This window comes from Homo sapiens, chromosome 4 (assembly GCF_000001405.40).
Source record: "Homo sapiens chromosome 4, GRCh38.p14 Primary Assembly".
NCBI classification, from domain to species: Eukaryota; Metazoa; Chordata; class Mammalia; order Primates; family Hominidae; genus Homo; species Homo sapiens.
The window spans coordinates 139,056,784-139,078,210 of record NC_000004.12 but is presented as its reverse complement, the minus strand read 5'-3'; the positions used below and the strand labels follow the sequence as shown (position 1 = coordinate 139,078,210).

At 37.2% G+C, this 21,427-nt stretch overlaps 1 protein-coding gene across 24 annotated transcripts in view; it reads left to right on the top strand.

Moving 5' to 3' along the window:
- Positions 1 to 20,991, top strand: part of ELF2 (E74 like ETS transcription factor 2) — a 120,696-nt gene extending 99,705 nt beyond the window's left edge. For 7 of the 24 annotated variants that reach the window (XM_047449737.1, XM_047449733.1, XM_047449736.1 and 4 more), the window contains 6 exons: positions 4,644 to 4,757; positions 6,172 to 6,345; positions 10,441 to 10,527; positions 16,154 to 16,346; positions 17,537 to 17,887; positions 18,604 to 20,991. In XM_047449737.1, the coding sequence (XP_047305693.1) occupies positions 4,644 to 4,757; positions 6,172 to 6,345; positions 10,441 to 10,527; positions 16,154 to 16,346; positions 17,537 to 17,887; positions 18,604 to 19,228 (1,544 nt within the window). In that variant the 3' untranslated portion in view covers positions 19,229 to 20,991. Of the gene's footprint in view, positions 1 to 4,643; positions 4,758 to 6,171; positions 6,346 to 10,440; positions 10,528 to 13,544; positions 13,632 to 16,153; positions 16,347 to 17,536; positions 17,888 to 18,603 lie in introns of those variants that run through there. The other 17 variants (XM_047449740.1, NM_201999.3, XM_047449738.1 and 14 more) reach the window with 11 other exon arrangements.
- Positions 20,992 to 21,427: the final 436 nt, after the last annotated feature.

Sequence of the window (21,427 nt, the reverse complement as noted above, 5' to 3'; positions counted from 1 at the left end):
TTGCCAGCATTCTTTTATGCAAAGCTGAGAGGTATGCCTCTTGTCAGACTTAATTACCAAGTTTGGTATTTTGTAACAGCTGTTGAGTGAGTCTGGAATAGTCTTCAGTACCATACAAACACCGGTTGATTAGAAAGATAGAAATGGAACAAGAAGATATTTACCAATATTAAATGAAGGTACAAGCAAATATTATTTTTGGTACTGTAATAAAAAGTAAAACAGTTCTTGAAATTTATTTCAAGGGGGATTGACCAGCAATAGCCACTACCAGTGGTAACTAGAAAATGATACCTGTCAGACTACTTTTAGCTTCATTGTTTCTATTTTTAAAATGAGTTATTTATTTTTCCTTCTATAAATTTCATAGATGTAGAAAGATACCAGTAAGTCAAGTTTTAAGTAAGATAAGGAATTCTACTTTTCAGCTCTTGCTTGTAGCTTGCTTACTTTGATTGCACAACACTGTTAAATTCATGCTTATTCTTAAATGTGCAAAATTATAGTTTAAATTTTATTTGAATTATTGATCTGAACAAAATAGTATTTTTTTTTTAATTACAGACACAAGTAGGAGAAATATTTCTTAAATTTCTGTTAAAAGTTACTTGACTTATGTAAACAAAAATAAAAAGATAGTGCTCACTTTTACAAAATGTGTTAAGTTTTGGAAACTGGCATTAGTACATTATTGTAAATTGATCTGAGAACAGCCTCTTAGATTTTTGTATTTTGCATTATTTTAGTTAGTAAATAAAAATGATGAGATAAAATTAGTAAGCAGTAAAAAAGTAATCAGTGTTCCTCTTAACATGCTTGTAACTTACAAAGTAAGTTTATTTTACATTTTTATTTAGTTTTGAAATATCTTCCATTTAATGCTCTCTGAACTGTAGATTGAGTGTTCTAAAATCTGAAACTGAGCACTGATGTGACACTCGAAGTGCTCATTAAAGCATTTTGGATTTTTAGATTTGGGATGTTCCACTGGAAATATATAGTGCAGATATATATTTTTTTAAATTCGAAATCTGAAACACTTCTGGTCCTAAGCATTTTGGATAAGGCATGCCCAACCTATAGTAGTATAAGCTTCATGAGGCCAGAAATCTGTTCACACTTGTGTCAGGTTTATAGCACAGGGTCTGGGCACATGGTAAATGTCAGCAACGATTTGTCAGTTGTACGTAGAGTATTAGATCTTCTGGCTGATAACTTCATAGGTAATTTATGCATATTTTATGTTGTCATCGTAAATTTAAAGTATGAATGAGTAAATTTTCTAAGTATGTATTTTACTCTGTAAATATAAAATATTTCTGAGATATAATATGTTGAATTTTAGGGGGGAAGGGGAAGTTGAGGTCAGAAATATGTGCAAGAATTACACCTTGAAGAAGTAATTTCCATTGACATAACAATTTTAATAACACAAAATCATGGTTTTGAAAATGTGCCTCAAACTATGTAAGAATTCAGGGCACGTAATATGTAACTGTTAGGCAAATTTCATTTTGTTTATAACTTGAAACATTAAAAAAACTGGTAAAATTCTCTTGCTGTATTATTATTGAATACTTGAAGCTCTGATTTTAATATGGTAAAGTTTTAGGGTGTGTCTTAATACAATTACATAAGGAATTAGTTTGCCCAGGATAGTTTATTAATAGCACCTAAGACAAGAGCTAAATTGCAACACAAGCAGACTTTAAAGAGAATGCTTGCTAGAATAAATTTTAAAAACTGGAGAATTGAAGGTTTTTTTTTTTTCTTAGTGTATGTGAGTATTGTAGGGAGGCACTTTGAAAACAATAATTGAGAATGATAATATGTCTTATACTTAATAATGCTAAGTTTTCTTAAAGTTGAGCTACACAGGCTGATTGAATCCTTTGCTTCAGTGAAGCTGCAGATAAGAGTAAGCAGGGTCACCTAAAGATAGATTTACTTAGAGGTTTGGCTGCCTCTCTGGAACCATTTAGCTTTGAACAGATTTCCATAAATGGAAAGAGCAACTGGAGAGACCCAGTACCTTGTGGATGATGTGCAACAGGTGGTAAAACAGTCATTGGATTTTTAAAATAAATGCTTTCCAAATGACTGTTGTTTAAGACTGAGGCTTTAGCATTTAGGGAACTTTGAGATGAACTGGATTTTTTCCCCCAATTAAAAGTTTCCTGGAAACAATTTTAAAAGATTCATATCGTTAGTGTATAGTGCTTATGAATTTGTAATATGACTTTATGAAATTTGTATAAACATTTACTTTTAGTTCCTTTAGGGGACATCTTAAAAAAAATCTGTCAAGTTAGAGACTCTTAAATATTCATGTTTCAGAACGTCTTACTAAGTTAACTGTTCAACATTTTAAGTCAGGATGTGAAATTAATATATTATTAAGATAATAAAATTTGTTCTTGAATTGCTGATTTTCTTGTAAGGTCAGTGGGTTGTCCTTAATTCAGTACATAAAATAAATACCTGCCTGGCGTGATGGCTCATGCCTGTAATCCCAGCACTTTGAGAGGCCGAGGCGGGTGTATCACCTGAGGTCAGGAGTTCAAAACCAGCCTGGCCAACATGGTGAAACCCCGTCTCTACTAAAATACAAAAATTAATCCGGTATGGTGGCATGTGCCTGTAATCCCAGCTACTCAGGAGGCTGAGGCAGAAGAATCGCTTGAACCTGAGAGGTGGAGGTTGCAGTGAGCTAGATCATGCCACTGCACTCCAGCCTGGGCAACAGAGCGAGACTCCGTCTCAAAAAAAATAAAAATAAAAATCCGCATGTCTGCTCCATGAAAAGTCTATGTTGGGAACCATGGCATATGTAAAGATGGGTTAAGCTAGCCCCCCAGACCTCAAGAAGTTTATAATCTTACAGGAATGATAAGAAATTATCATATTCTTGCTCTATGAGAGAGATTAAGTTGCTTACCTCAGGTAACAGAAATAAGTGGCAGAGACTGGAACCCAAGCTGTTGGACCTGAAAGCCCAAACCACTGACTGCTGTACACATTGTTTTACAAGTAACATAATCAGCAAAGCATAAAGGAAGTGCTAGAAGAGGAGAGATACAAAGCGTGGTAGAATTTGAAGGCCTCATGGGAAGAATAAACTCTAAGAAAAAGTCTTAGGTTAAAACCCACTGAGGCTCTGAAGAGAGCGAGGTTAATTATAAAGAAAGTTCTCAAGTACTCTGGCAGTAAATATAATGCATGTTGTTATCCATCTTTAGTCACCTCTGCCTGGAGAGTACAGTTGTCCCTCAGTATACCTGGGGTATTGGTTCCAGGATGTCTCCTCCACCTGGCAGATACCAAAATCCTAGAATGCTCAGTCAAGTCCCTTATACAAAATGCTGTAGTATTTACACTGTATTTTTAATTGTTGTATTTTTTTTATTGCCTCCCCCTCCCCTGCAATATTTTCTTTTTGTTTTTTTTTTTTGAGACAGTGTCTCACTCTGTCGCCCAGGCTGGAGTGCAATGGTGTGATCTTGGCTCACTGCAACCTCCGCCTCCCAGGTTCAAGCGATTCTCCTGCCTCAGCCTCCTGAGTAGCTGGGACTACAGGTGCCCGCCACCACGCCCGGCTAATTTTTATGTTTTTGATAGAGATGGAGTTTCACCATGTTTGTCAGGATGGTCTCGATCTCTTGACCTCGTGATCCGCACGCCTTGGCCTCTCAAAGTGCTTACAGGTGTGAGCCACCACACCCGGCCCCCCTGCAATATTTTCAATCTGAGGTTGTTTGACTCTGCTGATGCGGAACCCTTGGACACGGAGGGCTTACTCTACTCAGTCATTCAAGAGGGTCTGTAAGAATTGAATTAATTGATTAAATTAGCGCAGCATGGTTCTGTTAGGTGCCCTGGCTTTAATGGCAATACATCAAAATATATAATTGCCCTCACAGGGTTTTTAATCTACAACCAGCCTCTCCCTGACCCTTCCTCCCTTCCCACAAGTTAGTATTGGCCTAAAATTGATGCAGGGTTCAAATTTCAAGGATCTTTCTTTGTTTTCCTTTGAGTAAGATTCAGAAACTTCTCAGTAATTTCTTTTGTTGTTGTTGTTTTGAGACAGAGTCTCACTCTGTCGCCCAGGCTGGAGCGCAGTGGTGCGATCTCAGCTCACTGCAACCTCTACCTCCTGGGTTCAAGCGATTCTCCAGCCTCAGCCTCTTGAGTAGCTGGGATTACAGGCATGTGCCACCACGCTCAGCTAATTTTTCTATTTTTTGGTAGAGACGGGGTTTCACCATGTTGGTCAGGCTGGTCTTCAACTCCTGACCAAGGTCTACCCTCCTTGGCCTCCCAGAGTGCTGGGATTACAGGCATGAACCACCATGCCTGGCCAACTTCTCAGTAATTTCTAATCAATGTCATTGGTTACTTCATAATCAATATTCATTTTATATCAGTATTCATTTTATAAAATGTAGATATTAGCTTTTTAAAAATTATTTCTGTAATTTATATAGACGAATAGATATCAATGGCTTAGAGTTAGTCATGTTATTTTATATTTATTTATTTTTCATTTCTCTTTCAGGAGTGAATATGTTTATTTCTTAGTAATATGTTTTAGTCATGTGTTTAGTGTATTTTTAATTGAGTAGAACTTATTTTTCCTCCAGTGGAAGCATCAGTTCACAGCAGTAATGCACACTGTACAGATAAGACAATTGAAGCTGCTGAAGCCCTGCTTCATATGGAATCTCCTACCTGCTTGAGGGATTCAAGAAGTCCTGGTATGTAAACTGTTCATTCTTATGTTAAACGTGTCATACTACTTCATATGTCTAAAATAAAGTTTTTTGTTTTTTTAATCCAATGGAATTGTTGGGAATTCTCAAAGGTACATTACACATGAATACATGACAGCAGTAATTGAACTTTATTTGTCAAGGCCTCCAAGTCTTAAATACTTAATTTTCATAACAAATGATACAGAAAATACCCACTATAGATAGACAAATATTTATTAAATAGCTATTTGTACTGTCATGTCTATTTCCTTAACTCTGGGCAAGTTATAAGCCTTCATAGTCCTTCAGAGTATGATAGATGGGAGCAGTTGCCTGTTAGGACCACTTTCAATCCTTTATTCAATGATAAATAGGCAGTAACTCCAGAGAACCACACATGGTAGAGAGACAAGGGAGCTTTTGACATTTTTTTCACACATCCTTCAGTGTGAGTTTTTATTTTTTTGTGGTCCCTCTTAGTCTTTAAGAAAAACTTTGATAGTCATTTTGTCCAATCCTGATTTGTCCTAATTTTAATTTAATGCCCAAATGTTAATTTGACTTGATACAAAAATACTGGCTCACCTTCTCATTGGGATTCACAATAAGAGCAACCATACTTCTTAATTTGAATAGAATCCTGTGTATTACTCAGAGATATGAGAATAAATTTGTAGCATTTTTGGTCAGTCTATTAATCTAAGATAGTATGTATTAATTGTATCTCTTAATTGAAATAGAAATGTCATATCTTGGTTATTTGTGCACATTAGAAGGAAGCCAGAGCAACATTACTGTATGTACTAGAATACCAGATAACAATTTGTACCTACTGTTTTAGTGACTAAAACATCAGGACTGTTACATTAAATAAAACTTTAAATACCGAAAGGTAATATTTCTTGTCTGTAATGAGCAAGTTTTCCTTTTCATATTCTAAAATGAACTATAGGTGCTTATGTTTTACTGAGTACATATTTATAAATCTTTCACATTTTGAGCCACATGCATATATTACCTGTTAAAAAATAATGACGGATATGTGGATGGAAAGTAATTATTAACTAACTCACTATTATACTATTATTTTCAAATGTTTTCACAACTCTTAGAATAATTTAGAATTTTTCTACAATTAGTTTGAAAGTATAAGTGTGAAAGAGTGGAGTGACTACTCATGATCCTTGCCTTACCCAGAGGATTAACATTTTTCCTTTAAGTTGATTTTCCATGCATTTATTTTCCTTATGTAGTTTAAATCATATCGAATATTCAGCAAATTAACTTCTTCAGTATTAAGCTCTTATCCTGCTTTGATTAATTCTTAACACACCTCGCCTCTTCTAAATATTGAACTGTCCACATAAGAAACATTGATGGGGGTGGGAAATTTTAATTTTTCAACTTTTTTTTATAGTGGAAGTGTTTGTTCCTCCTTGTGTATCAACTCCAGAATTCATCCATGCTGCTATGAGGCCAGATGTCATTACAGAAACTGTAGTGGAGGTGTCAACTGAAGAGTCTGAACCCATGGATACCTCTCCTATTCCAACATCACCAGATAGCCATGAACCAATGAAAAAGAAAAAAGGTAGAGTATATTTATACATTTCTGAGAAGGCAGGTGAAAATTTTTCTCTTATCTTTTTCCTCATCAAGGGACATAGAAAGTAGTATATGCTGTAGATTTAAGATTGATGTTATCTTAACCAGATATTCTCAAAGAATCAACATTGAGATTTTAAATTTAGTATTTTAACGTACTCATACTGTTTAAAGGAGTTAGTATGTAAGGCTTGAGGATAATTGCCTGACAATGATATTTAACAGGTGTTCGACACACAGAAGGCAGATCAGAGATTCCCTGCACCTTGTCTTACTCCATCTTCTCCTTGTTGATCCTTTTATGGGTACTTGGTTACTTAAAAAAACACACACACACACGCACAACATTTTATTCTTTATTTTACAAAGTCTTGTCTTCCCTTGCTTTCATGGATATTTTTTAAAAAGCCAGGCACGCCTTTAGTCCCAGCTGCTCAGGAGGTGAGAGGATTTCGTGAGCGCAGGAGTTTGAGGCCAACCTGGGCAACATAGCAAGACCCTATCTCAAAAAACCTAAATAAACAGTGATATATATATGATATATATCATATTCATATATAGTCATACTAAATATATATATCATTTATATCATACTATATACAATATTCACATTTATTATATATCATGCTATTTTTACCTTATACCTTCTGCTTTGAAACACTAAGATTGCTGATAGAGACTTCTGATTGACCTAAACTCACCAGTGGGTAAAGAGCATTTCCACTTACTATTTGACTTCTGCTGAAATTTCTGCTCCCCCCATCCCACTACCACATTTTCAACATCATGAGGAAATGGGCAGTAAGTGGGTCTTTTTCTGTTGAAATCAAAGGTAAAATTGGAAAGACATGACATTCTAAGTAATTAGGTATTCATCTAATTCTCCTTTCTTCTCTAACTCTTCACATTTTAGAGTAAAATGCAAAAATAAAGGTGGGTTTGAAATAATGGTATTTTCTTTTCTTCATTAAATATAGTGTTTCAGATTGCCACAGTGTGTACCATTCTGTGGTCATTGTTGTAAGGGAGATGAGAATAAGACAGTGTCTTCCCACTTGTAATACATGTAGATTATATGCATCTCAAGAGAGGTATACATGAGAGAATTTAGGAGGAAGAGTTACTTCCTGATGTAAGCATTTAAAAACAAAAGGCATACATATAAATAGCCTTATTTACCCACTGCCTGCTATAGCACTTGGCTGGTTGCATCCAATGAGAGCTGTCACAAAATACTTAGGAAATGTTTGTTTAGATTTAATACCAGGCATGATGGCTCACGTCTGTAATCCCAGCACTTTGGGGGTCTGAGGTGGGTGGATCACTTGAGGTCAGGAGTTCAAGACCAGCCTGGTCAACATGATGAAACCCTGTCTCTACTAAAAATACAAAACTTAGCCAGCCGTGGTGTTGCATGCCTGTAGTCCCAGCTTTTCGGGAGGCTGAGGCAGGAGAATCGCTTGAACCCGAGAGGTGGAGGTTGTAGTGAGCCGAGATTGCACCAGTGTACTCCAGCCTGGGTGACAGAGTAAGACTCTGTCTCAAAAAAAAAAACACCACATTTAAAAGAAGATGGAAAACACCATGAAAAACAGGGGCCATGTAGGGAGCCAGGATGTGATATGATATAATCCAGGAAATACTTTGCCAATTTAATACAATTTTATTTATTTCTGTGAAAGCTCTTAGTGACCATTTAAAAATTACAAGGCTGGGTGTGGTGGCTCAGGCCTGTAATTCCAGCACTTTGGGAGGCTGAGGCAGGAGGATTGCTTGAGCTCAGGAGTTCAAGACCAGCCTGGGCCAACATAGTGAGACCTCATCTCGAGGAATAAAAAAAAAAATTAGCCAGGTATGGTGGCACATGCCTGTAGTCCTAGCTACTCGGGAGGCTGAGGCAGGAGGATCACTTAAGCCTGGGAGGCTACAATGAGCCATAATCGTGCCACTGCATTCCAGCCTGGGCGACAGAGTGAGACCCTGTCTCAAAGAAAAAAAAAAAATACATGTAACCATTCTGTCTGTACTTACTACCATAAGGGAGACAATGAAGAATAAGAGTATCGTTATTTATATTTTTGTGGTTAAGTACATTTGGGATATACAAACTTAGATAGGTTCTTTTTTAATAGCAGTACTTCTTTTTATTTTGAGAGCCTTTAATATACTAATGTGCATTGTGGATCTTGCTGTCTTCCAAGAGAAGATAGCATATGGTGTTCTAAAAGTTAATATGACTATAGAACCCATTTTCCTATGGAGGAAATTTATCAAGGAACATGACTTTGGACGTGCCGCTTTATGAGAAAATATATTAAGCCTTTTTGCACTAACTTTTCTACTAAGTTGGGCTTTTGTGCTAGAATTTAGGAGATGCTGAAGATGTTAGTTTTATTACTGTCTGATTCATATGTATAAATATTATTTACATTGAGTAATTAAGCTGTATTCTAACAGAGACCAGTGAACTTTCTGTTTTACTTTTTGTTAAAACAGACTTCTGATTACAATTACCAGAATTCTAAAGTATATCTGTGCATTTTGAAATACAGATGTTAAGATGCTTTAATTAGCTCTTTATATAATTAATCTAATGCTTCCTAATGAAGAATAGAGTGACATCAGAAATCTCAGATGTAGAACAGTCACCAAATCAGTAATAATATATTTGATCCTAAAATATGGCCGGGTGCTGTGGCTCGTGTCTGTAATCCCAGCACTTTGGGAGGCTGAGGCGGGCAGATTTCCTGATCTCAGGAGTTCAAGACCAGCCTGGGCAACATGGTAAAACCCATCTCTACAAAAAATACAAAAATTAGCTGGACGTGGTGGTGCACACCTGTAGTCCCAGCTACTTAGGGGGCTGAGGTGGGAGGATTGCTTGAGCCCAGGCTGTAGGGAGCTGTGTTCGCGTCACTGCGCTCCAGTCTGGGTGACAGAGTGAGACTCCATCTCTTAAAAAAAAAAAAAGTGTATGTATTTATGTGTGTGTATATATATGTATTTGATTTTAAAATACAACATACTTAAGTATTCCCAATTTATTTCTTGAGTCTGCCTCTCACCTGCCAGTGTTCATTTGTGCTCAGGATTGAATATAACTAATTTCAGGCTTAATCCTCTTTCGTGTAGAAAAGTATATAGCCCTTACTTTTTCTATTCATTGTGGATGCTAGTCTGTCTGAGAGAGCCTTATGGCAAAAATGAGGAGGAACAAAAGGGAAGGACACAAACCTTTATTAGACATATGAAATCACTTGGAAGTTTTTTTTAGCCTTGTGATGTATCTGCATGTGGAAGTGGGGAAATTGAAACACTTATGCTTGAATTCTGGTGAATTAACTGATCCAGAGCAGTAGAGAGTGTTTGATATTTTTTACTTTTCCTCATTTGAGTTCAAAGGGCTTTGCAAATTATCAGATCTTCTGCAATAAGTTGCTAAAGCTGTTTCTCACCATCCTGTAGAACAGAAAACAAATTAAGTTTTTACTAGGATTTGTTTCTATTGCTACACTAATATAAAAGATTGGCAAGGCCGGGTACAGTGGCTCACGCCTGTAATCCCAGCACTTTGGGAGGCCGAGGCGGACGGATCACGAGGTCAGGAGATCGAGACCATCTGGCTAATACGGTGAAACCCCGTCTCTACTAAAAATACAAAAAATTGACTGGGTGTGGTAGCAGGCGCCTGTAGTCCCAACTACTTGGGAGGCTGAGACAGGAGAATTGCTTGAACCCGGGAGGCAGAGGTTGCAGTGAGCGGAGATCGTGCACTCCAGCCTGGGCGACAGAGCAAGACTCTGTCTCAAAAAAAAAAAAGATTGGCAAATCAAGGCTCTGACCAATGTATATGGCAATCGAGGCTCTGCCAATGTGTATGACAGAGATTACTACTAACTGCTGTAATCTAAAATACAAAAGTGTTTGTAATACTCCTTTTAGAAGCAGCTTTTCATAGAGTATATTCATCTACAAATTAGTATCCATTTAAATGAATAATGTGTAATCAGAAAGTCTGCTAATCGTGCCTCTCATATTTTTCTTGTTTTCAACGTATGGTTTCAATATCTTATTTTTTCAGTTGGCCGTAAACCAAAGACCCAGCAATCACCAATTTCCAATGGGTCTCCTGAGTTAGGTATAAAGAAGAAACCAAGAGAAGGAAAAGGTAATTTGGGGAGGGTTGCTTTGGAAGTGAGATGATTTTTTTTCAGTTAGGTGACATTTTTGTATTTGTAAGAAAACTATTTCTAGTACATGCACATATGAGAATACTGTCGCTGGTAATAGTTCTTAATAAGGGATGTATCAGCATCACGTGGGGAGCTTTTTCAAAATATCTGTGCCCAGTTCCTACACCACAGAGATTCTGTAACCATAGTTGTATCATGGGGGATATAGGGACTTGGAAAAAGTCCAAAGGATGTCTGATACATATCCTCCTTAAGAACCATTGACTTACAGGATAATAGCACCCATCCTCATATATAGCTACCCATAATTCAAAGGGGTTTACAACTAAACCTTGTTTCTAATAATTTCTTTCTTTTCTTATTTTTGTGAGACAGTGTCTTGCTCTGTTGCCCAGGCTGGTGTGTGGTGGTGTGATCATGGCACATTGCAGCCTTGACCTCCTGGTCTTAAGTAATCTTTCCGCCTCAGCCTTCTGAGTTGCTGGGACCACAGGCACATGCCACCATGCCTGGCTAATTTCTTTCTTTCTTTTTTTTTTTTTAATTTTTTGTATAGATGAGGTCTCACTGTCATTCAGGCAGGTCTTAAACTCCTAGGCTCAAGTGATCCTTCTGCCTCAGCCTCTGAAAGTGCTGGGACTATAGGCATGAGCCACTGCAACTAGCCTGATACATAACTTCTTAACTGTTTAGAAGAATTCAAGGTGAGCTAAATTTAATTTTCCAATCAATAAATGTCAGTCACATCAGTCACAATTCAGAACAAAACCATGTTTTTGCTTATTTATTGACTTATTTTTACAGACAGGGCTAGAATGCAGTGGCATGACCATACCTCACTGCAGCCTTGCGCTACTGTGCTTGTAGCCTCCCAAGTAGCTGGGACTACACGCACACACCACCGCACCCAGCTAATTTGTTTTTTTTTTTTTTAAGAGATGGGGGTCTTGTGCTTTGTTGCCCAGGCGGATCTCGAATTCCTAGCTTCAAGAGATCCTCCGGCCTCACACTCCCAGAGTGCTGAGATTATAAGCGTGAGCCACTGCCCCTTGCCTATTTTTGCTTTAGAATTTGTGTATCCTGATTAAAAATGAAAACAGCACCAAACCTCCCCCATTCTGTGCTTTCCTAATTTGTGGAGTAAGATGATTTCAAGTAACATTTCTTTTTAAAATTATTTTTATTATCTTTTTTTTTTAATTTTAAAATCTTTTGTAGAAACAGAGTGCCCCTGTTTTGCCCAGGCTTGTCCCAAACCCCTCGCCTCAAGCGATCCTCCCATCTTGGCCTCCCAAAGTGTTGGGATTATAGACATGAGCCACCGTACCTGGCCTTTAATTTTCTTGTCACTCAGATTCTGACAGATAAAGTATCATTTCAGTAGTGGTTTTAGATGTGTTCTGTCTGCCCATCTGATAACCGAAAATTTATCACTTTCATGAATAAGTGTTTTCAGACCAATATTCAATAGTTGGATAAATTTTACATTAATATATTTAAATTTATTCTGTCCTTATCAGGTGGTTTGATTTAATAATTTTAAATAATTAAAACAGAAATTAAGTCTAGTTTAAAAAAAATTGTCTCCAGTAAGCCTACCAAGAAATTTGGTATTTCATTAGGTCAAAAAAAAAAAAAAAAAAAAAAAAGGTGACATTGAACACATTCAGGAACTGGTGACCCAATTTGGGAGAGGCTTAGGATACTTTTCTTATTTCCTTGTTTGTCTTTGGTTGTTGTACACTTCTAACATCTTAGGTTTCTTCTTTTAGTTTATATTGAAAACTTTAAAAGTTAACATAGTATGTATTAGAAAATTAAACTGTAAATATACAGTTATTACTGTTGTCTTTTTAAATAATTCTTATCCTCAGTGGTATCACTTATACTTGAATATCTTTTGCTTAACGCTGGAGAAAAACTGTGACCAGTTTTTACCAATTAAAATCACATCTCATTACAATTTCAGTCTTGTATTAAATTTGAGGCAGTGTGTTATAATGTAATTAATTGAAGCTGTTACAGTCAAACCTGTATTCAAAGTCCAGCCAGTGTTTTTTCTTCTGTAAAATTGTGATAATAGTCATAGGCAAATTCCTTATTACCTGGTAAAGAAAGCTTCTCTTTCTGAATCCTGTTTTCCCTAAAACCAGAAATATAATTTTTAATAATTTTTTTCTATAGAGACAGGGTCTCACTCTGTCACCTAGGCTGGAATACAGTGACAGGATCATAACTCATTGCAGCCTCAGCCTCCCAGGCTAAAGTATTCTTCTGCCTCAGCCTCCCAAGTAGCTGGGACCACAGGCACATACCACCGTGTCTGGCTAATTTTAAAATTTTTTGTAGAGACGGGTCCCCCTATGTTGCCTAGGCTATTCTCATACTCCTAGGCTCAAGTGATCCTTCAGCCTTGGCCTCCTTAGAATTGTTCATTTTAACTTGGGGATGGCAACATGGGTGCAGTGAGTGTTTAAAGATAATATGAGGGATTTTGATGAGTTTAATTCAAAACATGGAAACATTCAGATATCTTATGTACAGGGCATTGTCTATGTTATACAAACATTTCTTCCAGAGTAAAATCTTTGCTCACATTTACTACTATGTGAACAAAATAAAAATGCAAAAAAAAGAAAATAACTGAAGATTATACATGGTTTGTTTTAATAGTTTTTAGGTAGTGATGCTGGTGTAATAGGGTCCTAGAGATACAAATGTAACTTTGTAAAGTTAAAAGTCATTTTTTTTGTTTTGTTTTGTTTTGTTTTGTTTTTTGAGGTGGAGTTTCGCTCTTGTTGCCCAGGCTGGAGTGCAATGGCATGATCTCAGTTCACTGCAACCTCTGCCTCCCGGGTTCAAGCGATTCTCCTGCCTCAGCCTCCTGAGTAGCTGGGATTACAGACATGTGGCACCACGCCCGGCTAATTTTTATATTTTTAGTAGAGATGGGGTTTCTCCATGTCGGTCAGGTTGGTCTCAAACTCCCGACCTCAGGTGATCCGCCCGCCACGGCCTCCCAAAGTGCTGGGATTACACACATGAGCCAACACGCCCGGCCGAAGGTCAGCTTTTTCAGGTCAGTAGATGCATAATGGGTTGAACTCTGTGTTATTAATGAATTTACTGGATTTTCAGAGAAAGCCACAATGAAAGTGAAATGCCAGAGACAAAACATCAGTACTTTGACTGAAGGTGTTGGGGTAGTGCTGGCTTGTTTTGGAAGCTTCCCACATAGCCTGTATCTTAGAACTGGATTTAAGGATAGTAAACGAATAGTGCATGGAATCCTACAGATGACCTATCTTTTTCGTCTCAGGACTCTTTTCTGTTCTTTTTTTCTTGAGACGGAGTCTCGTTCTGTCGCTCAGGCAGTGCGGTGCAGTGCAGTGGCGTGATCTCTGCTCACTGCAACATCCGCCTCCTGGGTTCAAGGGATTCTCCTGCCTCTGCCTTGCGAGTAGCTGGGATTACAGGCACCCGCCATCATGCCTGGCTAATTTTTGTATTTTTGTAGAGATAGGGTTTTACCATGTTGGCCAGGCTGGTCATGAACTCCTGACCTCAGGTGATCCACCCACCTTGGCCTCCCAAAATGCTGGGATTACAGGCGTGAGCCACCTCGTCCAGCCTTCTGTTCTTCTATTAATAAGAACCTTGGCACCTAGAGGTTATGAAGGGAATAAAATAAAAACAATCTGAAAAGCGTCTTCTAATGACCGCTGCCTACTACTCTCTCCTCCATAATAAGGGAGAAAAAAGTGTGATACTTTCTTCCTTTTGGGATTAAGTTTTTTTTTTTTACTTGCCCAGATTCCTTTTTGTTCTTTTATGCACATCCTAGCCATCTTCCAAGACTTCATGATGGCCTCCCAGTCCACTTTATTTTCACTCTTGGAATCCCACAGACATATTTTCTAGATTATTTGGAATATAATTAATTATGCATTGCTTTGTGATAGATCTTATATTGTTTCAAATTGTTATTTATTTCTTGCATTGTTGTTTAACTTGTCATCTACTTTCTTTCCCCTTCTCAACTAAATTATAAATTCCTTGAGGCAGGGACCAGGTTTTAAATTCATCTCCTTAAGCATGGTATGCGATGAATAAGCATTTTATTCTGCAGAAATATTCTAATATTTCCTCATTTTAAAATTTTACTAGTAGTGTGATCCAGAGCTAATGTTACAGTTAACATTTGATGAATACTTGACTAATTTTAAGGAATTACCATATTTTTCCATTTTAGGACCTCAGAATTTAAGATATAAGTATATATAATGAAATCCTTTAAACATTATCTTCCGTCTATTGGGTGTAATCAGTAGAAAGCGATTAGAAAATTTTTTTAAATCTGTTTTTAGAGGCAGTAATGTTCTTTTTTCTTTCTTTTTTCCTGTGACAGGGTTTCACTCTGTCGCCCAGGCTGGAGTGCAGTGGTGCGATCTCAGCTCACTGTAACCTCTGCTTCCTGGGTTCAAGCGATTCTCATGCCTCAGCCTCCCAAGTAACTGGGATTACAGGTGCACGCCACCATGCGCAGCTAAATTTTATATTTTTAGTAGAGATGGGGTTTCACCATGTTGGCCAGGCTGGTCTCGAACTCCTGACCTCACGTGATATGCCCGCCTCCTGGCCTCCCAAAGTGCTGGGATTACAGGTGTGAGCCACCACACCCCGCCAACAGTAATGTTCTTTGCTATCAAGTCTTAATTGACTGGTAGTACAGAGGAAAATGATAAGAAAATCCTTAAAGGGTTGAGGGTAGTTTGCACTTAATAATACATATACCTCAGAGTTCATGCCTGTAGGTGAATCAAAGAAAAGTAAGTTTCTTACAAAAAGACCCTAGGTCTGATGCCTAAAAGTTTTACACATTTCGTTGTATTTTGCTTGTGTATCCAATAAAATTACTAAGTCCCTTTTGGTGAATTTTGATCATGGAATTTAGGCTTATCATATGATAAAGGTGTAAATAAATTTATTCAGTTTAAATCTGTATAAACTAATAAATTTGATTCTGTTTAATTCAGGTTAACTTTGCCTAAGCAATTATGCCTTTGCCTTTACTGAACTCAAAATCTAGGATAGTGTGATATGTAATAGTATAAAAGCCAGAACCTGTATTTTAGCATCATAACTGTAAGCATACATAGGGGATACCATTTTTTTAAAAGTAGAAACAGGCCGGACACAGTGGCTCACGCCTGTAATCCCAGCATTTTGGGAGGCTGAGGCAGGCGGATCACCTGAGGTCAGGAGTTCAAGACCAGCCTGGCCAACATGGTGAAACCCTGTCTCTACCAAAAATACAAAAATTAGCCGGGTGTGGTGGAATGTGCCTGTAATCCCAGCTACTCGGGAGGCCGAGGCAGGAGAATTGCTTGAACCTGGGAGGTGGAGGTTGCAGTGAGCCAAGATTGTGCCACTGCACTCCAGCCTGGGCGACAGAGCAAGACTCCGTCTCCAAAAAAAAAAAAAGTAGAAACAAGTATATTCAGGATTTTTATGATACAATGAAGGACACTTTATTTGCTTTTAATTATGTATTTAATTATGTTAATGAATTTTAATCAATGTCTGTCATTGTTTTTAAAGGAAACACAACCTATTTGTGGGAGTTTCTTTTAGATCTACTTCAAGATAAAAATACTTGTCCCAGGTATATTAAATGGACTCAGAGAGAAAAAGGCATATTCAAGCTGGTGGATTCAAAGGCTGTCTCTAAGCTTTGGGGAAAGCATAAGAACAAACCAGACATGAACTATGAAACCATGGGACGAGCTTTGAGGTAAAAACTCAAATGAGCTAGTATTCAAACAAAATTTATGTATTTCTTTATATGTCTATTAGCTGTTTAAAGAGAAGCTGAAAATCCTTTACAACTTTTAACTTTGGGGGATATTCTAGAGGAGCTTCTTAGATTTGGAAGTAGGTGGGGAGATAGGAGTTTGGTCTACGTGCTTATAATTTTAACATAATTGGAAAATTCATTTTTGCAGAAAATGTGCTTTTGTACTTAGGAGTGTTTCTTAATAGAAATTATGAAGTTGTAGGCTTAAAAAAAAATTAAACCTAAACAAATTATGGTTCCTAAAGTTAGTTTGTTTTTTAGTTTTTAGGGGTTTGTTATAAATGGATTTATGTTGATAGGAAAATTTATCTTAAGTTTTATCAGTTTGGCTGGGCATGGTGGCTCACGCCTATAATGCCAGAACTGTGGGAGGCTGAGTTGGGTGGATCACTTGAGGTCAGGAGTTTAAGACCAGCCTGGCCAACATGGGGAAATCCTGTCTCTACTAAAAATACAAAAATTAGCCGGGTCTGGTGGCGCTCGCCTGTAATCCCAGCTATTCGGGAGGCTGAGGTAAGAGAATCGCTTGAACCCAGGAAGCGGAGGTTGCAGTGAGCCAAGATTGTGCCATTGCACTGCAGCCTGGGTGACAGAGCGAGACTCTCAAAAAAAAAAAAAAAAAAATTATCAGTTTGATAAACCCACAAAATTCTTTCATTGTAAAGTACATGGCTTCTTCTAATTAAGGGTGTTTTTAAGTGAACACATTGTTTATGTGACAGTATTCACATATCTCTACTAAGTAAGTGTGGCTTAGGTAATTTTTCCAGTAATATCAGTTTGTTGTTACAACCTATGTAAATCAGAAAATAATTTCTACCATTGTCAGTATAGTAAAATAGTCAACGGTAAGGTAAATTATTTCTTTTAAGAAAAAGAATGAACTTTCAGCCAGTTTATAGACCTTAAGTTTGTAGGACCTTGGCCCCAGGTTCCAACTTGATTCCTACTCTAAATTTGTAACCTTTTGAGCAATCTAGGCAGTAAGAGTTTGTTTTTTTCTCATCTGTTATTAGAGATAAGGGAATGTTTCTGTTAGTATCCACTGTATGTGGTCTTTTTGGCGGGGGTGGAGTGGGGTGAAGAAATAATATACTTGATTCATTTGGTACATTTTCCCCTTACAGATACTACTACCAAAGGGGAATTCTTGCAAAGGTTGAAGGACAGAGGCTTGTATATCAGTTCAAGGATATGCCGAAAAACATAGTGGTCATAGATGATGACAAAAGTGAAACCTGTAATGAAGATTTAGCAGGAACTACTGATGAAAAATCATTAGAACGAGTGTCACTGTCTGCAGAAAGTCTCCTGAAAGCAGCATCCTCTGTTCGCAGTGGAAAAAATTCATCCCCTATAAACTGCTCCAGAGCAGAGAAGGGTGTAGCTAGAGTTGTGAATATCACTTCCCCTGGGCACGATGCTTCATCCAGGTCTCCTACTACCACTGCATCTGTGTCAGCAACAGCAGCTCCAAGGTAAGTGAAGCAAACCATTAGTTACAATGTATTTACTTTTTAAAAAAGTCTCCGTGGTGAAAACAAAATGTCCTTTTGCTTAATATTAGTGTTCTAAGAACCCAGTGTTGTCAGGACTTTGAAAAGTGCTTGATGTTTTAATTATATTTTTTATTGTTGTTAAAGTAGATGTCTTGCTGGGTTCAGTGGTTCACGCCTATAATCATAGCCCTTTGGGAGTCCAAGACAGGAGGATTGCTTGAGGACAGGAGGTCAACACAAGCTTTGGCAACGTAGTGAGACCTCCTCTCTATAAAATAAAAATAAAAAATTGCTGAGCATGGTGGCACACACCTGTAGTCCTAACTACTGAGGAAGCTAAGGCAGGAGAGTCACTTGAGCTTAGGAGTTGGAGGTTGTAGTGAGCTAAGATTGCACCACTATACTCCAGCCTAGGTGACAGACTGAGACCTTATCTCCAAAAAAAAAAAAAAAGTAGATGTCTTAAATAACCTGAATTGGTTTTTATGGTTTTATAGATGGAGCTTAATGTAGGCTTTAGTTTTTAAAATATATCATGGTATGTTTGTGTCAAACATCAGGGATTGCCAGTACCTCTGTAAAATTTGGGAGCACTAATTTTACACATTTTGGATTTGTATTAATCTTTTACTCAGGAGACCTATTTTCTCAGTTGGCATTAAATATAATCAGCTTTTTTCTTTCTAATGTACTAGGACAGTTCGTGTGGCAATGCAGGTACCTGTTGTAATGACATCATTGGGTCAGAAAATTTCAACTGTGGCAGTTCAGTCAGTTAATGCAGGTGCACCATTAATAACCAGCACTAGTCCAACAACAGCGACCTCTCCAAAGGTAGTCATTCAGACAATCCCTACTGTGATGCCAGCTTCTACTGAAAATGGAGACAAAATCACCATGCAGCCTGCCAAAATTATTACCATCCCAGCTACACAGCTTGCACAGTGTCAACTGCAGACAAAGTCAAATCTGACTGGATCAGGAAGCATTAACATTGTTGGAACCCCATTGGCTGTGAGAGCACTTACCCCTGTTTCAATAGCCCATGGTACACCTGTAATGAGACTATCAATGCCTACTCAGCAGGCATCTGGCCAGACTCCTCCTCGAGTTATCAGTGCAGTCATAAAGGGGCCAGAGGTTAAATCGGAAGCAGTGGCAAAAAAGCAAGAACATGATGTGAAAACTTTGCAGCTAGTAGAAGAAAAACCAGCAGATGGAAATAAGACAGTGACCCACGTAGTGGTTGTCAGTGCGCCTTCAGCTATTGCCCTTCCTGTAACTATGAAAACAGAAGGACTAGTGACATGTGAGAAATAAAATAGCAGCTCCACCATGGACTTCAGGCTGTTAGTGGCAGTACTGACATAAACATTTGCAAGGGAAGTCATCAAGAAAAGTCAAAGAAGACTTTAAAACATTTTTAATGCATATACAAAAACAATCAGACTTACTGGAAATAAATTACCTATCCCATGTTTCAGTGGGAAATGAACTACATATTGAGATGCTGACAGAAAACTGCCTCTTACAGTAGGAAACAACTGAACCCATCAATAAGAAAAAGGATCGAAAGGGACCAAGCAGCTCACTACGATATCAAGTTACACTAAGACTTGGAACACTAACATTCTGTAAGAGGTTATATAGTTTTCAGTGGGAGGGGTTGGGATGGGTAATCTCATTGTTACATATAGCAATTTTTGATGCATTTTATATGCATACCAGCAATTATTACTGTGTTCGCACAGTTCTCACTTAACTGGTGCTATGTGAAGACTCTGCTAATATAGGTATTTTAGAATGTGAATTGAAGAATGGATCCCAAAAACTTCAGAAAGAGGATAGCAAAAAAAGATCTAGTGCGATTTTATATATATATATATATATATATACATACATATATATATATCATATAGCTTAAGCTGATTTAAAACAAAGGCCTTAGACTAATTTTCGATTTTCTTTCTTGAAATAAGCTAATGGCTTGTTTGTGTAAAGCTTTTTTATTAAAAGAAAAATTTTAAAAATCTTGTACCTAGCACAGTATTGTTATAGAATATACATGTAACATTTTATATGGTAGTTTAAGTCTGTCAGTTTCTTAATTGTGGACAAATTAACAGTTGGCTCTGGCCTTTTGCTGTAACATGCCTGTGTCACTCACTTAGCCTTGGCATTTGTGCAGACATACCATTTTCAGTTCTGCTGTCACTTGGAAGTTCAGGCTCAGCATGAATTTTTGGCAGGTAGCTCTAATACCTGGAGTTTTCTTTGTTTTTTTTTCTTTTTTTTAGTTGAAGTTTATGAGGGAAATACCAGTGTTCAGTTTTGAACTATAATAGTTTGTATATTCAACATTTGAAGTATATTCTATTTTGTTGTACTCTTGTTTCAAAGTGTATTCAAGTAGGTTTTCTGAAATATAGAAATGAAATTTATCTTCTGTTTTGGTCTCTGGTGATATTTTAAACAATATTTAAAAGTCAGTATAGAAGTGTTTTAGTTAGGAAGTGATAAAACATCTCTCTTCTCCTTCCCAACTACTGCATGAAGAAATTCTACTTCCATTATATTAATATTTGGCAAATATCTGCATGTTGCCAGTTTCTTTCTAATTATGATGAACTATAATGTTCTGCTTAACGTAATGAATTTAGTATTTTAGTTGGCTGCACTTAAAGAATTTATATTTGTAAAACACTTTAAACCATTTGTTTCACAATCAGACCTTTTGTGGATTAAAAAGAACAATTACTCTTCTAGCCCTTTTACAGATTAGGAAGTTAAGGTATCTGAAGGATTACATAAACTATGTAATTTTACTACTGTCTGTCACTCCATATCTTAATGCTCTTTCTACTACAAAGAAAAGTTATCTATTTTTACATGTTTTAGAAATGTAGATGAACTCATACATAATATTTTTTGTCTTTTAATTGATCACATACTACTTAGGTCAGAAATTGTTTATAACAGTTCCCTTTGTAATCTTTTAAACTTTTCCATAAATATATTGATGATACTTTTATACAAAAGCTCAAAGAAAAACTCACTTGATTATTTTCCCATTTGGGAGTTACTCTCAAATTCTGTCTCCTTTTAAAACATTTCCAAAATATTTCAGCTTTGAAAATCAATATTAAGTGCTTTGGCACTTAATTGTATTATCTTGTTTATTGCACTGTGACTTCATTTGTTTGTCATGTCTTCCATAATACTCATTTAGAGCAACGATTATATTTTATGCCATACCTACCCCTCTCCCCAAGTGCTGAGCATATTAGACACTCAGGTCAGACATTTATTGATTTTGGGAACATTTGCTGAGAATATAAGTCACATGCTTAAATACTTTGCTTCTATGCTGGATTCTTAATCGGTTCTAACAGGGTTAAACCAGGGCTATCTAGCTACCTCTGCTACTCTACTGGAAATTTTTTTCTCTTTGAGAATAAGCACATCTAAAGTCTAGACTTGGAGCCAGGTGCGGTGGCTCACGCCTGTAATCCCAGAACT